This window comes from Homo sapiens, chromosome 14 (genome assembly GCF_000001405.40).
Source record: "Homo sapiens chromosome 14, GRCh38.p14 Primary Assembly".
Lineage (NCBI taxonomy): Eukaryota > Metazoa > Chordata > Mammalia > Primates > Hominidae > Homo > Homo sapiens.
The window spans coordinates 37,480,113-37,500,969 of NC_000014.9; the positions used below are offsets into that span (position 1 = coordinate 37,480,113).

The 20,857-nt window shown below is 37.6% G+C and overlaps 1 protein-coding gene across 13 annotated transcripts in view; it reads left to right on the plus strand.

The window, feature by feature from the left end:
• The window catches only part of MIPOL1 (mirror-image polydactyly 1), a 354,425-nt gene that overhangs the window by 282,176 nt on the left and 51,392 nt on the right, over positions 1-20,857 (plus strand). For 12 of the 13 annotated variants that reach the window (NM_001195296.2, NM_001195297.2, NM_138731.7 and 9 more), the window contains one exon: positions 19,796-20,026. The exons of the other annotated variant lie outside the window; for it this stretch is intronic. In NM_001195296.2, coding sequence (NP_001182225.1) covers positions 19,796-20,026 — 231 coding nt within the window. The remainder of the gene's footprint in view (positions 1-19,795; positions 20,027-20,857) is intronic. 13 annotated transcript variants of the gene reach the window in all.

Genomic DNA, 20,857 nt, shown 5'->3' on the forward strand with positions numbered 1-20,857 from the left:
TGAAGAACTAATCCTTCTCTAATCCTTCTACTAATCCTTCTCTAACTCTTCCCAAAAATTAAAGAGGAGAGAATACTTCCAAACTCTTTTTGCAAGGCCACCATTACCCTGATCCCAGAGTCAGACCAGGACATCACAAGAAAAGAAAATTACAGGCCACTATTCTTGATAACATAGATGTAAAAATTCTCAACAAAATGCTATCAAACCAAATTCAACAACACATTATAAATCCACCATTATCGAGTGGGATTTATTCTTGGGATGCAAGGATGGTGAAACGTATGCAAATCAATACATTTGATACATCACATTAACAGAATGAAAAACAAAAGCCATGTGGTTATCTCATTAGATGCAGAAAAAAACATTTGACAAAATTCAACATCCTTTCATGATTAAAAAAAAAAAACTCTCACCAAACTCGGTATAGAAAGAATGTACCTCAATAAAATAAAGGCCATATGAGAAGCCCACAGCTAACATTACACTCAGCTGTAAACAATTAAAAGCCTCTCCTCTAAGATCTGGGATCAGACAAGGATGCCAGCTCTCACCATTTCTTTTCCACATAGTACTGGAAATTCTTGCCAGAGCAATTAGGCAAGAGAAAGAAATAAAAGTCATTCAAATAGGAAAGAAAGAAGTGAAATTGTCATTGTTTGCTGAGAACAGGATCATAAACCCTGAAGACTCCACAAAAAAACAAACAAACAAAAAAAACCTCTTAGAACTAATAAAACAGGCTGGGTGCAGTGGTTCATGTCTGTAATACCAGCACTTTGGGAGGCCAAAGCAGGAGGATCACATGAAGCCAGGAGTTCAAGACCAGCCTGGGCAAAATAGTGAGACTTCGTCTCTATTTAAAAATTTAAAAAAATAGCCAGGCATGTTGGCACATGCCTGTAGTCCTAGCTATTTGGAAGGCTGACACAGGAGGATTGCTTGAGCCCAGGAGTACAAGGTTACAGTGAACTATGATTGCACCACTGGACTCCAGCCTGGGTGGCAGACAAAGATCCTCTAAAAGAGCAAAAACACAAAAAACAAATACAGTAAAGTTGTAGGATACAAAATCAACACCCCGAAATCCATAGCACTTCTATGCACTAACAACAAACTATCTGAACCAGAAATCAAGAGAACAATCCCATTTGCAATAGCTACCCCCTAAAAAAATTAAACCTTGGGAATAAATTTACCAAAAGGAGATGTAAGACCTGCACAATGAAAACTCTAAAATGTCAATGAAAGAGATTGAAGAGGACACAAATAAGTGGAAGGATATCTCATGTTCATGAATTAGAAGAGTTAATACTGTTAAAATGTCACACCAAATGATCTACCCAAAATGATATACAGATTCAGTGCAATAATTATCAGAATTCTAATGTCATTGTTAAAAGAAATAGAAAAAACTATCATGGAACTCATATGGACCCCCCCCAACACACACACACACACACACACACACACACACACACACACACACACACACACCGAAACCACATAGCCAAGGGAATCATGAGCAAAAAGAACAAAGCTAGAGGAATCACAATAGCTGATTTCAAATAATACAACAGAGCTGTAGCAATTAAAACAGCATGATACTGCCAAAAAATATACCTATTGACCAATGCAACAGAATAGAGAGCCCAGAAATGAACGCTCATATATATCATCAATTGATTTTTGACAAATGTGCCAAGAATACACAATGGGAAAAGGATAGTCTTTTCAATAAATAATGCTTAGAAAACTTGATATTTACATGCAGAAAAATGCAGTTGGACCCTTACCTCTCACCACACACAAAAGTCAACTCAAAATGGTTAAGGACTTAAATGAAAGGCCAGAAACTATAAAACTACTAGAAGAAAACATAGGAGGGGAAACTATATTATGTTGGTTTATTGGATCTGACCCCAAAAAGCATAGGCAACAAAAGAAAAAAATAGACAGATGAGATTACATGAAACTAAAAAGCTTCTGTACATCAAAGAAAACAATTAACAGTATGATGAGACAGCCTATGGATTGGGAGAAAATACTTGGAAACCATACATCTGATAAAGGGTTAATATCCAAAATATGTAAGGCACTCAACTCAATAGCAAGAAAACAAAACACCCAGTTTAAAAATGGGCAAGGGATTTGAATAGACACTTCTCAAAAGAAGGCATACAGATAGCCAGTAGATATATGAAAAAATGTTTAATTGCTAATTATAGGGAAATGCAAATTAAAACCACAATAAGATATCTTACACCAGTCAGCATGGCTGTTGTATTAGTCCATTTTCACACTGCTGTCAAGAACTGCCCAAGACTGGGTATTTTATAAAGAAAAGAGGTTTAATTGACTCACAGTTCCACATGGCTGAGGGGGGCCTCAGGAAATTTGCAATCATGGCAAAAGGTAAAGGGGAAGCAAGGACCTTCTTCACATGGTGGCAGGAGAGAGAAGTGCAAGCAGGGGAAATTCCAGACACTTATAAAACCATGAGATCTCCTGAGAATTCACTCACTATCATGAGAACAGCACTGGGGAAACCACCCCCATGAACTAGTCACCTCTCACCAGGTTCCTCCCTCGACACCTGAATTGCAATTCAAGATGAGATTTGGGTGGGGACACAAAGCCTAACCATATCAGCTGTTTTCAAAAAGACAAAAGTTAACAAGTGTCAGTGAGGATATGGAGAAAAGGGAACCCTTGTATACTCTCAGTGGGAACATAAATTAATTCAGCTGTCCCTCAGTATCTGTTAGGGGATTGGTATCAGCACCCCATGTGGATAGCAAAACCCATGGATAGTCAAATCCCTTGTGTAAAATGTTGTAGTGTTTGCACATAACCTATGCACATCCTCCTATATACCTTAAATCATCTCTAGCTTATACCTAACACAATGTAAATGCTATGCAAATAGTTGTTATACTATATGTTTAGGGAATAATCACTACAAAAAAAATCTGCACATGTTCAGTATAGACACAACCTTTTTTTTTTTTTTTTAAGACCAAGTCTCGTTCTGTTGCCCAGGCTTCAGTGCAGTGGCATGATCCTGACTCACTCCAACCTCCGCCTCCTGGGTTCAAGCGATTCTCCTGTCTCAGCCTCCCGAGTAGCTGGGATTATGGGCTTATGCCACCACGCCTGGCTAATTTTTTGTATTTTTTAGTAGAGATGAGGTCTTGCCACGTTGACCAGACTGGTCTCAAACTCCTGGGCTCAAGCGATCGAACTGCCCTGGCCTCCCAAAGTGCTGGAATTATAAGTGTGAGCCACCATGCACAGCCAACAACAATCCTTCTTTCCTTAAAGAAAAAAATATTTTTCATCCATGGTTGGTTGAATCCACAATTGCAGAATCCATGTATTCTAGGGCCAACTGTATGTCCATATATTCAGAGGGCCAACTGTATAGCCATTATGGATGACTGAAAGCAGGTTCCTCCAAAAACTAAAAATAGAATTATATGATCCAGCAATTTCACTTCTGGATATTTACCCAAAAGATTTGAAATGTTTTTTTTTAAGGGCAGAGTCTTGCTCTGTGGCCCAAGCTGGAGTGCAGTGGCATGACTGTAGCTCACTGCAGCCTCAAACTCAGGGGCTCAAGCAATCCTCCTGCCTCAGCCTCCCGAGTACCTGGACTACGAGTGTATGCCTCCACACCTGACTGATTTTTTAAAAATTTTGTAGAGGCAGGGTTTCACTATGTTGCGCAAGCTGGCCTTGATCTCCTGGCCTCAAGCAGTCCTCCCACCTCAGTTTTCCAAAGTGCTGACTTCACAGGTGTGAGCCGCCACAACTGTCCTGAAATTATTTTTTCAAAGAAATGTCTGCATTTCCATGTTCATTGCAACACTGTTCACAATAGCCAAGTTATGGAATCAACCTAAGTATCAGTACCATCAACAGATGAACAGATAAAGAAAATGTAGTATATATATCCAATGCAATACTAGTCAACCTTGGAAAAGAAGCTATGAGTTCTGTCATTTGTCTTTGGCGTTAGTTTTTTGAAGTTTAATTGTGATGTGTCTTTGAATTCATTTATGTGGGTTTTCCCCATTTGGAGTTTTCTCAACTTCTTGTAGGTTTCTGTGTCTTGCCACATTTCAAAGTTTTCAGCCATTGTTTCTTTAAGTACTTGTTTTTTTAGCTCTATCCTCTTCCATTTCTCCTTCCATGACTTTGATGACCCAAATGTTAGATCTTTTTTTTTTTTTTTTTTTGAGACGGAGTCTCGCTCTGTCACCAGGCTGGAGTGCAGTGGTGTAATCTTGGCTTACTGCAACCTCCGCCTCCCGGATTCAAGCAATTCTCCTGACTCAGTCTCCTGAGTAGCTGGGACTACAGGAGTGTCCTACCGCGCCCAGCACATTTTTGTATTTTTAGTAGAGATGAGGTTTCACCATGTTGTCCAGGATGGTCTCAATCTCTTGACCTCGTGATCCGCCCCCCTCAGCCTCCCAAAGTGCTGGGATTACAGTCGTGGGCCACCACACCCAGCCGTTAGATCTTTTATTATAGTCCACAGGTCCCTGAAGTTGTGATAGTTTTTTTCAGTCTATGTCTCAGTTATTCATATTGAATCATTTTTATTGTTCTCTCTTCCAGTTCTCTTATTCTTTCTCTGTCCCTTCAATTCTGCTATTTAGCCTATCCTCTGGGCTTTTCATTTCAGTTATTGTATTTTCACTTCTAAAATTTCCATTTGTTTCTTTTTTACTATTATTGTACTTTAAGTTCTGGGGTACATGTGCAGAATGTGCAGTTTTGTTACATAGGTATATACATGCCATGGTGGTTTGCTGCACCCATCAACCCGTTACCTACATTAGGTATTTCTCCTAATGCTATCCTCCCCTTCCCCTCCACCCCCTGACAAGCCCCATAGTGTGATGCTGCCTTCCCTGTGTCCATGTGTTCTCATTGTTCAATTCCCTTTTATGGGTGAGAACATGCGGTGTTTGGTTTTCTGTTCTTGTGTTAGTTTGCTGAGAATGATGGTTTCCAGCTTCATCCACGTCCCTGCAAAGGACATGAACTCATCGTTTTTTATATTCCATGGTGTATATGTGCCACATTTTCTTTATCCAGTCTATCACTGATGGGCATTTGGGTTGATTCCAAGTCTTTGCTATTGTGAACAGTGCCGCAGTAAACATACGTGTGCATGTGTCTTTATACTGGAATGATTTATAATCCTTTGGGTATATACCCAGTAATGGTATTGCTGGGTCAAATGCTATTTCTGGTTCTAGATCCTTGAGGAATTGCTACACTGTCTTCCACAATGGCTGAACTAATTTACACTCCCACCAACAGTGTAAAAGCATTCCTATTTCTCCACATCCTCTCCAGCATCTGTTGTTTCCTGATTTTTTAATGATCACCATTCTAACTGGCGTGAGATGGTATCTCATTGTGGTTTTCATTTGCATTTATCTAATGACCAGTGATGATGAGATTTTTTTCATGTTTGTTGGCTGCATTAATGTCTTCTTTTGAGAAGTTTCTGTTCATATCCTTTGCCCACTTTTTGATGGGGTTGTTTGTTTTTTTCTTGTAAATTTGTCTAAGTTCTTTGTAGGTTCTGGATATTAGCCCTTTGTCAGATGGATAGATTGCAAAAATTTTCTCCCATTCTGTAGATTGCCTGTTTATTCTGATGATAGTTTCTTTTGCTGTACAGAAGCTCTTTAGTTCAATTAGATCCCATTTGTCAATTTTGGCTTTTGTTGCCATTGCTTTAGTTGTTTTAGTCATGAAGTCTTTGCCCATGCCTGTGTCCTGAATGATATTGCCCAAGTTTTCTTCTAGGGTTTTTATGGTTTTAGGTCTTATGTTTAAGTCTTTAATTCATCTTAAGTGAATTTTTGTATAAGATGTAAGGAAGGGATCCAGTTTTAGTTTTCTTCATATGGCTAGCCAGTTTTCTTAAAACCATTTATTAAATAGGGAATTATTTCCCCATTGCTTGTTTTTGTCAAGTTTGTCAAAGATCAGATGGTTGTAAATGTGTGGTGTTATTTCTGAGGCCTCTGTTTGTTCTGTTTCATTCGTCTATATATCTGTTTTGCTACCAGTACCATGCTGTTTTGGTTACTATAGCCTTGTAGTACAATTTGAAGTCAGGTAGTGTGATGTCTCCAGCTTTGTTCTTTTTGCTTAGGATTGTCTTGGCAATGCAGATCTTTTTTGGTTCCAAATGAAATTTAAAGTAGGTTTTTTCAATTTTTTAAGAAAGTCAATGGTAGCTTGATAGGAGCATTGAATCTGTGAATTACTTTGGGCAGTATGGCCATTTTCAAGATATAGATTCTTCCTATCCATGAGCATGGAATGTTTTTCCATTTATTTGTGTCCTCTCTTATTTCCTTGAGCAATGGTTTGTAGTTCTTCTTGAAGAGATCCTTCACATCCCTTGTGAATCGTATTCCTAGATATTTTATTCTCTTTGTAGCATTTGTGAATGGGAGTTCACTCATGATTTGTCTGTTTGTCTGTTATTGGTGTATAGGAATGCTTGTGATTTTTGCTCATTGATTTTGTATCCTGAGACTTTGCTGAAGTTGCTTATCAGCTTAAGGAGGTTTTGGGCTGAGACGATGGGGTTTTCTAAATATACAATCATGTCATCTGCAAACAGACAATTTGACTTCCTCTCTTCTTATTGAATACTCTTTATTGCTTTCTCTTGCCTGATTGTCCTGGCTAGAACTTCCAATAACACCAATAATATGTTGAATGGGAGTGGGTATGAGAGGGCATCCTTGTCTTGTGCCAGTTTTCAAAGGGAATTCTTCCAGTTTTTGCCCATTCAGTATGATATTGACTGTGGGTTTGTCATGAATAGCTTTTACTATTTTGAGATATGTTCCATCAATACCTAGTTTATTGAGAGTTTTTAGCATTAAGGGGTGTTGAATTTTGTTGAAGGCCTTTTCTGCATCTAATGAGATAATCATGTGTTTTTTGTCATTGGTTCTGTTTATATGATGGATTACATTTATTGATTTGCATATGTTGAACCATCCTTGCATCCCAGGGATGAAGCCGACTTGATCGTGGTGGATAAGCTTTTTGATATGCTGCTGGATTCAGTTTGCAAGTATTTTATTGAAGATTTTTGCATCAATGTTTATCAAGGATATTTGCCTGAAATTTTCTTTTTGTTTTGTTTGTCTCTGCCACGTTTTGGTATCAGGATAATGCTGGCCTCATAAAATGAGTTAGGGAAGATTCCCTCTTTTTCTGTTCTTTGCAATAGTTTCAGAAGGAATGGTACCAGCTCTTCTTTGTACCTCTGGGAGAATTTGGCTGTGAATCCATCTGGTCCTGGACTTTTTTTGGTTGGTAGGCTATTAATTACTGACTCAATTTCAGAACTTGTTATTGGTCTATTCAGGGATTTGACTTCTTCCTGGTTTAGACTTGGAAAGGTGTATGTGTGCAGAAATTTATCCAATTCTTCTAGATTTTCTAGTTTATTTGTGTAGAGGTGTTTATAGTATTCTCTGATGGTAGTTTGTATTTCTGTGGGATCAGTGGTGATATCCCCTTTATCACTTTTTATTGCATCTATTTGTTTCTTCTCTTTTTTCTTCTTTATTAGTCTGGCTAGCGGTCTATTTTGTTCATCTTTTCAAAAAACCAGCTCCTGGATTCATTGATTTTTTGAAGGGCTTTCTGTGTCTCTATCTCCTTCAGTCTGCTCTGATCTTAGTTATTTCTTGCCTTGTGCTGTCTTTTGAATTTGTTTGCTCTTGCTTCTCTAGTTCTTTCAATTGTGTTGTTAGGGTGTGAATTTTAGATCTTTCCTGCTTTCTCTTGTGGGCATTTAGTGCTATAAATTTCCCCCTAGACACTGCTTTAAATGTGTCCCAGAGTTTCTGGTACATTGTATCTTTGTTCTCATTGGTTTCAAAGAACATCTTTATTTCTGCCTTCATTTCATTATTTACTCAGTAGTCATTCAGGAGCAGGTTGTTCAGATTCCATGTAGTTGTGCAGTTTTCTTAATCCTGAGTTCTAATTTGATTGCAGTGTGGTTGGAGTGACTGTTTGCTATGATTTCCATTCTTTTGCATTTCCTGAGCAGTGTTTCACTTGCAATTATGTGATCAGATTTAGAATAAGTGCAATAGGTGCTGAGAAGAATGTATATTCTCTCAATTTAGGGTGGAGAGTTCTGTAGATGTCTATTAGGTCCGCTTGGTGCAGAGCTGAATTGAATTCCTGAATGTTCTTATTAATTTTCTGTCGTTGATCTGTCTAATATGGACAATGGGGTGTTAAAGTCTCCCACTATTATTGTGTGGGAGTCTAAGTCTCTTTGTGGGTCTCTAAGAACTTGCTTTATAAATCTGGGTGCTCCTGTGTTGAGTGCATATAGGTTTAGGACAGTTAGCCCTTCTTGTTGCATTGATCCCTTTACCATTGTATCATGCCCTTCTTTGTCCTGTACAAGTGCTTCGTACAGGAGCTCTTGTGAGGCACACCTGGTGATGACAAAAATCTCTCAGCATTTGCTTGTCTGTAAAGGATTTTATTTCTCCTTTGCTTATGAAACTTCATTTGGCTGGATATGAAATTCTGGGTTGAAAATTCTTTTCTTTAAAAATGTTGAATATTGGCCCCCACTCTCTTCTGGCTTGTAGGTTTTCTCCCGAGAGATCTGCTGTTAGTCTGATGGGCTTCCCTTTGTGGGTAACCTGACCTTTCTCTCTGGGTGCCCTTAACATTTTTTCCTTCATTTCAACCCTGGTGAATCTGATGATTATGTGTCTTGGGGTTGCTCTTCTCAAGGAATATCTTTGTGGTGTTCTCTGTATTTTTTGAATTTGAATGTTGGACTGTCTTGCTAGGTTGGGGAATTTCTCCTCGATAATATCCTAAAGAGTGTTTTCCAACTGAGTTCCATTCTCCGCATCACTTTCAAGTACACCAATCACTTTCAAGTACACCAATCAAAAGTAGATTTTGTCTTTTCACATAGTCCCATTTATCTTGGAGGCTTTGTTTGTTCCTTTTCATTCTTTTTTCTCTAATCTTGTCGTCACACTTTATTTCATTAAGGTGATCTTCAGTCTCTGATATCCTTTCTTCCGCTTGATCAACTCAGCTATTGATACTTGTGTATGTATCACGTGCTGTGTTTTTCAGCTTCATCAGGTCATTTATGTTCTTCTCTAAACTGGTTATTCTAGTTAGCATTTCCTCTAACCTTTTTTCAAGGTTCTTAGCTTCCTTGCATTGGGTTAGAACATGCTCCTTTAGCTCAGAGGAGTTTGTTATTACCCACCTACTAAAGCCTACTTCTGTCAGTTCATCAAACTCCTCCATCTAGTTTTATTCCCTTGCTGGCAATGAGCTGTGATCCTTTGGAGGAGAAGAGACATTCTGGTTTTTGGAATTTTCAGTCTTTTTCTGCTGGTTTCTCCCCATCTTCATGGATTTATCTACTTTTGGTCTTTCATGTTGGTGACCTTCGGATTGGGTCTCTGACTGGACGTCCTTTTTGTTGATGTTGATGCTATCCCTTTCTGTTTTTTGGTTTTCCTTCTAACAGTCAGGCCCCTCTGCTGCAGGTCTGCTGGAGTTTGCTGGAGGTCCACTCTAGACCCTGTTTGCCTGGGTATCACCAGCAGAAGTTGCAGAATAGCAGTAATTGCTGCCTGTTCCCTCCTCTGGAAGCTTCGTCCTAGAGGGGCACCCACCAGATGCCAGCCAGAGCTCTCCTGTATGAGGTGTCTGTCAGCCCCTACTTGGAGGTGTCTCCAAGTCAGGATACACAGGGGTCAGGGACCTACTTGAGGAGGCAGTCTGACCCTTAGCATAGCTTGAACGCTGTGCTGCGAGATCTGCTGGTCTCTTCAGAGCCATCAGGCAGGGATGTTTAAGTCTGCTGAAGCTGTGCCCACAGCCACCCCTTCCCCAGGTGCTCTGTCCCAGGGAGATGGGGGTTTTATCTATAAGCCCCTGACTGGTGCTGCTGCCTTTTTTTCCAGAGATGCCCTGCCCAGAGAGGAAGACTCTAGAGAGGCAGTCTGGCCACAGTGGCCTTGCTGAGCTGCAGTGGGCTCCACCCAGTTCGAACTTCCCTGTGGCTTTGTTTACACTGTGAGAGTAAAACTGCCTACTCAAGCCTCGGCAATGGTGAACCCCCCTCCCCATACCAAGCTGGTGCATCCGAGGTCGACCTCATACTCCTGTACTGGCAATGAGAATTTCAAGCCAGTGGATCTTAACTTGCTGGGCTCCGTGGGGGTGTGACCTGCCAGCCAGACCACTTGGCTCCCTGGCTTCAGCCCCCTTTCCAGGGGAGTGAACGGTCTGTCTTGCTGACATTCCAGGTGCCACCGGGGTATAGAAAAAAAACTCCTGCAGCTAGCTCGGTGTCTGCCCAAACGGCCACCCAGTTTTGTGCTTAAAACCCAGGACCTTGGTGGCGTAGGCACCAGAGGGAATCTCTTGGTCTGTGGGTAGCGAAGACTATGGGAAAACCTCAGTATCTGGGCCAGAATGCACGGTTATTCAGGCTCAGTCCCTCACAGCTTCCCTTGGGTAGGGAAGAGAATTTCCTGACCCCTTAACACTTCCCAGATGAGGCAACATCCCACCCTGCTTCAGCTCACCTCCATGGGCTGCACCCACTGTCCAGTCAGTCCCAATGAGATGAACCAGGTACCTCAGTAGGAAATGCAGAAATCACCTGCCTTCTGCGTTGATCTCACTGGGAGCTGCAGCCTGGAGCTGTTCCTATTTGGCCATCTTGCCAGCAAATCCTCCATTTGTTTCTTAATTGCATCTTCTATTTCTTCCATCTCCTCAAAAGCAGAAGTCTCCCTTCTATTAAATTTGACAGTATAAATTTTTCATTTTAGTGATGCCCATACAATTATATTTATGTGTTATATGACAAAATTCAAGATAAACTTTGTTGCCTGAGAACTATACAGTGGTATATAAATATAAGTGGCTTTGTGAGTATAATGTCCTACCACTCTGCTTCCCACATCACCAAATTTATGAAGCACACAGTATACTCTTAGATAATCAGGAGCTGGCCCTACATTAATTCCAGGTACTGTAGTATATTTAATAGTTGGATATTTCTGGCCAGGCGCAATGGCTCAGGCCTGTAATCCCAGCACTTTGAGAGGCCGAGGTAAGTGGATCACTTGAGATCAGGAGATCAAGATCATCTTGTGCAACATGGCGAAACTCCGCCTTTACCAAAAATACAAAAATTAGCTGGGTGTGGTGGCATGTGCCTGTAGTCTCAGCTACTCAGGAGGCTGAGGTAGTAGAATCGCTTGAACCCCAGAGGTGAAGGTTGCAGTGAGCTGAGATCATGCCACTGCACTCCAGCCTAGGTGAAAGAGCAAGACTCTGTCTCAAAAAAACCTCCAAAAATTTAGATATTTTTTAATGCTTCCTTAGAATTATTTGTATAGGTTGTTACATTTCTAAACATGAATTCAACAGATATTTAGTGAAACCCAATTTATATTGTGAAATGTAGCATCCAGAAAACTTGTAATAAATATTAATAAATATATTGACAACTTATCCAGTTTAAAATTCTTGAAATTTTAAGTTCAGTATTAATTGACTTACTTTATAATAAAGAAATTATTTTTTCTCTGAAAGTACTTTAGCAGGTTATTTTATTAAACTAAACCAACTGCAGCAACAGTGGAAGCAAATCATTGAAGTTACTAGACTGTCTGATTTGCAGATTAAATTTCCTCATACACACTCTTATCCATTCTGAATATATTTCCCTCTCTCTGTATGTCATTCAGAATTAAGGCCTATTATACTGGAGCATATGCTGATTTCCTTAAAAATAAGTGAGCAAGTTAGTGATTTTCTTTTTTCAATTAAAAATAATATTTAAGATGGGGTCTCACTGTGTTGCTCAGGCTGGTCTAGAACTCCTTGTCTAATCCTTCTGCCTTGGCCTCCCAAAGTGCTGATATTACAAGCATGAGCCACCATGCTCAGCTTCAGCTATCTTCTTGAAAGGGTCTTAGCAAATTAATTGATGTAGTAAACCAGGAAATAAAAGTAGACATTATCCTTTCAGAAATGTATTCTTAGGAAAAAGCAGCACATACTTCTACATTTCATATTTGCTTAGGTTTTATTTATTTTAATTCAGTAAAACAAGCCAAACCTGCCCATTTTTTAAAAAAGAATGATTTAAGAATGTTATCAGTAAGTGAACAAAGGTTGAGAAAACTAGTTTCCTTCTCCCAATTCATGAAAAACCTGTAGGAACAGGCAGTTGTTTTTCTCAGTAAAATGTTTATAAAATACTTGAGTATTGTGTAACATTTTTGTACAAAGTTAATTAGATATAAGTAACTCCTTTTAAAAATTATACAGATATGAATGCGTATTCTTTGGCAGGTATTGTGCCAGTTATTTTCACATATGTAGATCACCTCATTTCATTCTCATATGATTTCCATGATATTTTTCTCATAGTTTTCGAGTTGAAATTAATATTCAGTAGGTAAGTTTTTTTTTCCAATGTCACTCAGAGTGAATGACAAGACTGAAATTTGAATCTTTATCTTCTAAGTTCAACCCAACATCTCTTCATCTACACCAGTTTCAGCATTGTTGACATAGTGGTCTGGATAATTCTCTGTTGTAGGAATCTATCCTCTGTTTAGCAGCATCTTTAGCTTCTATTCACTAAATGCTAGTACCATCTCACCCTCCCCGCCACCCCCACCAGTTGTGACAAAAATGTCTTCAGATGTTGCAGAATGTCCTCTGAAGAACAAAATTACCCCTGGTTAAGACCTACCTACTGATCTATATTGTTGTACCTCATCTCTAAATTTTAATCCAAAAATATTTATCCAATTAAAATAAATAGCATATATACAACACACTAATGATTGAGCAATTACTGTAAAATAAATGAAGCATAAACAGAATAATAAGTGCATATTGTAGGATGATGAGTAAAATGATTTCTGTAAGGACTTGGCCAATACCTGATCATGGAGACAAGAGAGGAAGTCAGGAAAAGTAGCATCAAAACTTGGTATAAATGGAAAAATACTAATTGCAAAAGTAAGCTTAATCCATGTTTAACATTACAATTAAGATAGAGTTCAATGAACAGGTAGGCAGACAAGTTGAAGAGAATATAAATATCTGCAAGCAAAACATATAAGTGGCTCATAAACCTTATAATTCCAAGTTACATTAAGCTGAGGTGGCATAGAGAGTCAGGGACCAGGAAAATAGTCAGGGCCACAGACATAAAGTAATAGACCAGGGAACGTAGAAACCAAGACAGAAACCACTTCAGACAGGAAATCTATTACATGGCACTCACTGGAGTAATACACATTAAGGACATTTTCTACCTTGGCCTGCCATTGGACTCAATGTGGTGAGCAACAAAGGAGATAATGTGCAGGCTTATTTGATGTGAATTAGAAATATGATCATATCAAACATTAGTAAGTAAAAATATTTTTAAAGTTTTACTTTCTACACTAAATTATAAAACTTAAATTTATAAAGAATTATATAATTTTAAAACTGGAAGAGCGAATTTAAACTTTGCTTATCTTATTACCTCATTAGCTTCCTGGTTAACAGAAATAGTTAACATCCTATGTGGATATTGTGTAAGTTGCACTATTGATTACATGCTTTAGAATTTCTGAGAGTGATTCAGTGACTCTTTGGCTGTTATTTCATCATTTATGCTTACTGTAACTTAAAATATGTTCCTATACAACTTAAGTGCCTTTGAGGAGTTATAATACTACTACTACGCTGAAAATGCACCTGAAAATTAGTAACTTTGGAAAGAGGGTAAATGTAATATGTCTTTGTGAAGAAAGCTAAACAAGCGGGCCTTGTTGTCAGTTAAGGAAAGACCATTCTGAGGAAGAAGTACTAAAGCAAAAATTGTGCTTCAGTGGTTACAGATTTATAAATGCTTGGAATATAGCTCTCCTGCTTCACCTTTATTCCTATTGGAAAATTCCTTAGAATTATAGATGTTTTGATTTACTGAAGTTCTTAAGGAATGTATTCTTCCCATAAAATAAAATTGCTATATATAAATGAAGTATTAATATGTTAGAATTGGGAAGAAAACCACAAGATGAAATGGAAAAAAACTACAAATTACAAGTTCTGAGAAGGAAGAGTAGGATCTATGAGACAGACTAACAAAGAGGAAAATCAAGATTTAGATTGAAGACCCACGTAGGTGTATCTAAGAAAGTGATATTTTTGCTTTGTCTTACTGGATAAGTAAGACTTTGTCAGGTAGAAGCATGGGTGGAAAGGCATTCCAAACAAATACCTTCAGCAGAAAAAACTTGACACGCTTGAGAATCTGAATGCCTAGCTAAAAGGTGAGGAAGGAGGTAGAGAGGTCAGTGATGCAGGGCTTTATAGACCACAGCAAGTATAGAAGAGGTTTCCAGTGCAGACATAAAGACTGTAGGTTCAAATTCTGGCTCTGCTACATGTATTAAATTACTTATCTCTGTTTCCATTTGTATCAGTAAAAAAAGGAATATTAATAAGACTTCTCATGCAAGTTGTGACATTTAGTGAGTTAACATATAGCATTTATTATTTTTAAAGACTGTTTTCTGAATGCAAGGACATGCTATTGCAGGTTTTTAAGTGACATTGTCTACTTCCATCTTTTTAAAAAGATCATGTCCATTGCTTGGGAAAGCCTTGATGGTAATTAACAGGTTTCCAAGGTATTTTGAATGCTAAGCAGCTTTTGAACTTGCGGGTACAATCCAAACATGTCCATCTGAGAGAAAAATCAAAATCAGGTATAAATTTGCCCCCTAAAAATTAAATGATAGAAGACTAGAAAGTGAGGAGTGATTAGGAAATTAAATCAGGATGCTCATAATTTTCATAATGGTGAGACTTTTAAAACTTAATCATTGATTCTTTTTTTTTCTAGGTAATTTTTCTTTTTTTTTTTTTTAATATTTTTTTTATTATACTTTAAGTTTTAGGGTACATGGCACATTGTGCAGGTTAGTTACATATGTATACATGTGCCATGCTGGTGCGCTGCACCCACTAACTCGTCATCTAGCATTAGGTATATCTCCCAATGCTATCCCTCCCCCCTCCCCCCACCCCACCACAGTCCCCAGAGTGTGATGTTCCCCTTCCTGTGTCCATGTGATCTCATTGTTCAATTCCCACCTATGAGTGAGACTATGCGGTGTTTGGTTTTTTGTTCTTGCGATAGTTTACTGAGAATGATGATTTCCAATTTCATCCATGTCCCTACAAAGGACATGAACTCATCCTTTTTTATGGCTGCATAGTATCCCATGGTGTATATGTGCCACATTTTCTTAATCCAGTCTATCATTGTTGGACATTTGGGTTGGTTCCAAGTCTTTGCTATTGTGAATAGTGCCACAATAAACATACGTGTGCATGTGTCTTTATAGCAGCATGATTTATAGTCCTTTGGGTATATACCCAGTAATGGGATGGCTGGGTCAAATGGTATTTCTAGTTCTAGATCCCTGAGGAATCGCCACACTGTCTTCCACAATGGTTGAACTAGTTTACAGTCCCACCAACAGTGTAAAAGTGTTCCTATTTCTCCACATCCTCTCCAGCACCTGTTTCCTAACTTTTTAATGATTGCCATTCTAACTGGTGTGAGATGGTATCTCATTGTGGTTTTGATTTGCATTTCTCTGATGGCCAGTGATGATGAGCATTTTTTCATGTGTTTTTTGGCTGCATAAATGTCTTCTTTTGAGAAGTGTCTGTTCATGTCCTTCGCCCACTTTTTGATGGGGTTGTTTGTTTTTTTCTTGTAAATTTGTTTGAGTTCATTGTAGATTCTGGATATTAGCCCTTTGTCAGATGAGTAGGTTGTGAAAATTTTATCCCATTTTGTAGGTTGCCTGTTCACTCTGATGGTAGTTTCTTTTGCTGTGCAGAAGCTCTTTAATTAGGTATTGTTGGGACGTATTTCAAAATAATAAGAGCTATCTATGACAAACCCACAGCCAATATCATACTGAATGGGCAAAAACTGGAAGCATTCCCTTTGAAAACTGGCACAAGACAGGGATGCCCTCTCTCACCACTCCTATTCAACATAGTGTTGGAAGTTCTGGCCAGGGCAATTAGGCAGAAGAAGGAAATAAAGGGTATTCAATTAGGAAAAGAGGAAGTCAAATTGTCCCTGTTTGCAGACGACATGATTGTATATCTAGAAAACCCCATTGTCTCAGCCCAAAACCTCCTTAAGCTGATAAGCAACTTCAGCAAAGTCTCAGGATACAAAATCAATGTACAAAAATCACAAGCATTCTTATACACCAATAACAGACAAACAGAGAGCCAAATCATGAGTGAACTCCCATTCACAATTGCTTCAAAGAGAATAAAATACCTAGGAATCCAACTTACAAGGGATGTGAAGGACCTCTTCAAGGAGAACTACAAACCACTGCTCAATGAAATAAAAGAGGATACAAACAAATGGAAGAACATTCCATGCTCATGGGTAGGAATAATCAATATCGTGAAAATGGCCATACTGCCCAAGGTAATTTACAGATTCAATGCCATCCCCATCAAGCTACCAATGACTTTCTTCACAGAATTGGAAAAAACTACTTTAAAGTTCGTATGGAACCAAAAAAGAGTCTGCATCGCCAAGTCAATCCTAAGCCAAAAGAACAAAGCTGGAGGCATCACACTACCTGACTTCAAACTATACTACAAGGCTACAGTAACCAAAACAGCATGGTACTGGTACCAAAACAGAGATATAGATCAATGGAACAGAACAGAGCCCTCAGAAATAACACCGCATAGATCTGATCTTTGACAAACCTGAGAAAAACAGGCAATGGGGAAAGGATTCCCTATTTAATAAATGGTGCTGGGAAAACTGGCTAGCCATATGTAGAAAGCTGAAACTGGATCCCTTCCTTACACCTTATACAAAAATCAATTCAAGATGGATTAAAGACTTAAACGGTAGACCTAAAACCATAAAAACCCTAGAAGAAAACCTAGGCATCACCATTCAGGACATAGGCATGGGCAAGGACTTCATGTCTAAAACACCAAAAGCAATGGCAACAAAAGACAAAATTGACAAATGGGATCTAATCATTGATTCTTAATATGTAATTGGTTACGGTATACTGGTTACTGCTTTAGGCATGATAGGCAAATGCTGAATTCCCAAACGAAGCTGTCTCACTGAGTTTTAAATTAGGCCATATATGTAAAGTTAAAATATAAGGGAATGGAGTAGGCTAAGATTTTTTAAACAGTTTACAAAAAGCATTGCCATTAAAGAAACAATGATAAATTGAACTTTATTTAAATTGAGAACTTACCTTCATCAAAAGACAGCATTAAGAGTCAGGCATGGTGGCATATGCCCATAGTCCGAGCTACTCAGCAGGCTGAGGCAGGAGGACTGTTTGAGCCCAGGAGTTCAAGGTCAGCCTGGAAAACATAGTGAGAACTTGTCTCAACCAATCAATAATATACACATACATAAGACAATACGAAGAGAATGAAACATCACTGCATCCATATTACAATAACTAAAGTTAAAAGCATTTGACAGTGCCATTCTGAGGGAGGATATAAAGCAATTGAAACTCATATTTTGCTGATGGGAGTACAAATTGGTACAACTAATTTGGAAGACTATTAGCAGCATCTAAATCTAAATCAGCATCTATTATCATTGTACTAAATCTGAAAATAATGCATACCCTTTGGAGAAATTCTACTTTACACATGAATACCTAGGTCCATCAAAAGACATGTACAGGAATATCCATAGCAACAACTGTGGACAGTTAAATAAGTTACGGCATATGTATATAACAGAATATTTTATAGCAATAAAAAGCAATGAATTATATGCAACAGCAAGGTGAACTTCACTTACCAATTGTTGAGGAAAATAAGCCAGACAAAAAGTTTAAAAATAGGCAATTTACATTTTGATAAAGGTTGGATTAGTACTTACCTTTTGGGGAGGGGAAAAAATGGGAGGGAACACTGGGGGGTCTTCTAGATTTCTGCATTTGTTCTGTATTTTGTTCTTCACATTTTTTCAAGCTGAATACTTTGTATATATGCACTTTGTGTAATTTAAAACGTAATTAACAATTAAAATATAACTAATGTTTTAAATATAAAGAACATAAACAAGTACCTTTTTTAAGGTTTAGCTTTTAGTTTGTTTCTTCTTTTCTTTCTTTCTTTCTTGCATCTTTCATGGAGATAAAGAGGGTGAGCTGAAGAAAATTGGAACTTGGAACAGACAAGAATGCAGAAAGTGAGAGGACACAGAAAAAATAGTAAAATGGGCAAGAGACAGCCTTTAAGCATATGGGTTGGTAGAAAAATCTGAGAAGAAATGAAGTAGGGATAGTTAGATTAATAACAATGTGCAAACCATGAAAAAAGGTATTTTTTGCACTCTACAAATGTGGCACTACACACTATTCTAATTTTCTGTGTAGTAACCAGTTGACCAGCGCTTAGTAACAGTCCGTATTCTTAGGGGTTTGAATCCTGAAGTGGTTTCATTTGGTATGCTGACTGTCCTTGTTTCATATCCATCCTAGTTCTATGGGACGCCTTCTCCAAAATAAGCATACTGTAAAGGCTTATAGATAACTTAAACTAAAAGAGGAAATTTATAATTACTTTGAACAGTTTTAAAGAAAGTATCAGGCTAGATATTAGGACAATGCCAAAGTTCACTAACTAGCTTTTTGCAGGTTTAATAATGATATTGCTTTCCTTCCCATTATCAATCTATATTATATAGTTAAGTTGTTTTACTTCAAATGTCTCCAATCGACATTTCCTTTGTATGCATATACTGAAATGATATTTAATAAAAAAGAACATCTCCTGTGTGGAGTTTAAATTTCTCTTATTAAATATTTATATTTTCAAAATGTCTTTATTTAATTGAGTGAGGTGCTTGGTGCCATTTCAAAATAACCTCAGGTGGTAGGTGTAATGACATATCAAAGATTTGACCTTTAGCATTTTAGGATTCTATTTGTCTGCATTTTCTTCTGCATTCATTTAGTCTTAATTTATATGCTATTTCTCTGTATGACTTAATGAGTAGATGTATTCGTTAAGAGATTCATTAGCCAAAAAAAAATATACACATGTATATATGAATACATTTTATTTCTGTGCAATCTGACTAGTGATTTTAAATTCATTTATATCTCAACTGTGACAAGTAGAAGATCAAGTAGAAAATGCTATGTAGAAGGCTGGTCAGTGTTTGCATAAACCTCATCCATTCTCATTAAGTGCTTGGCAGAATAGACCCTCGATCTCCTAAACCAATGCCCATTCTCTTCTCACTTCTTTCAGCTTATTACATTCTTTTATTTGCCTAGAGATACTTTATTTTCCAGTTCTCTGCTATTCCTTTTAAAGAAAATTGAATGTAATATTTACACTGATATAATTAAATTAACATCTTGCAGCATCTTTTTGTATGCTTTGGTAGCATAATCATTTGTCTGGGTAGCTTTCAGCCTAGAAGCAGAGAAATTATCAATTATAATGTTGTGACATAAAAATTATTTTCATTTGCTCATTTAAGTATTTATTGATTTTTAGAACTAGAGATTCTAAATGGAGGTTTTTGTTAAATAGATCATAGATCACTCAGTTTACATTACTTATCTTTAAATTTTTTTTAATATTTTCTCAGTTTACACAAATCTTTATCTCAAGAAGAAAATCTGAAGGATCAGTTTAACTATACCCTTAGTACATATGAAGAAGCTTTAAAAAACAGAGAGAACATTGTTTCCATCACTCAACAACAAAATGAGGAACTGGCTACTCAACTGCAACAAGCTCTGACAGAGCGAGCAAATATGGAATTACAACTTCAACATGCCAGAGAGGCCTCCCAAGTGGCCAATGAAAAAGTTCAAAAGTAAGTTAAATGATCTTGTAATAATACTTCAAACACATGAAACAAAACAAAACACTTTCTTTTGGGAACTAAACAATATGTAGTTATTGATCATGTTAATAGTTTAGAACAAAAGTAGAATTAACCCAGTGAACTTTTTTAGATTGGATACCATATGCCATATTTGGGGTCAAAAAAGTCATTTTCTTGGGAACCATTGTTACCCTGTAGGGCAAACCATTTTTATTTAATAACTGATCATCAGTTCATGGAGGCCATACTATTTAAATCATTTCACAGTCACAAGTTAATAGGCAAAGTTATTAGCAAGGGGAAGAGGCAGTCAAGTTACCACCTGAACTAATTTAGCTTTACAATAATCCTGCTTGAGTTGAGATCATCTGTGACATTGCAACCTGAGACTTGTAGGTGCATAAAAACCAGTAGGGTGAAATTAATTTTCTTGTGTTGTTCTTCTGAAGTATTCAATACTGCTTTTCACAGTGCATAATTATATATGTTTATTTTGAATGATCTTTGCATTTTTATTAGAATTTAAATAAAGCTGCATAATCTGTCAGTCCTTTTGACAGCTAGCAAAATGTTAACAAACAGCTTACCAGGCAAAGAAGTCACTTGTTAATTTAATGGACTTGAACATTGTAGCAGAATTTTCTGAGACACCTTTAATGTAATAGAACCACTGTAATAGAATACATAGAACACATGTAATAGAATATATTTTAACCTTCTTTATGTATTGTTAACAGCACTACAGCATTCACATATCTAGTCACCTTCAATTTCAAAGATATACCTTTTTCCTTAACAATTTTTATGTCAGTTTTACAC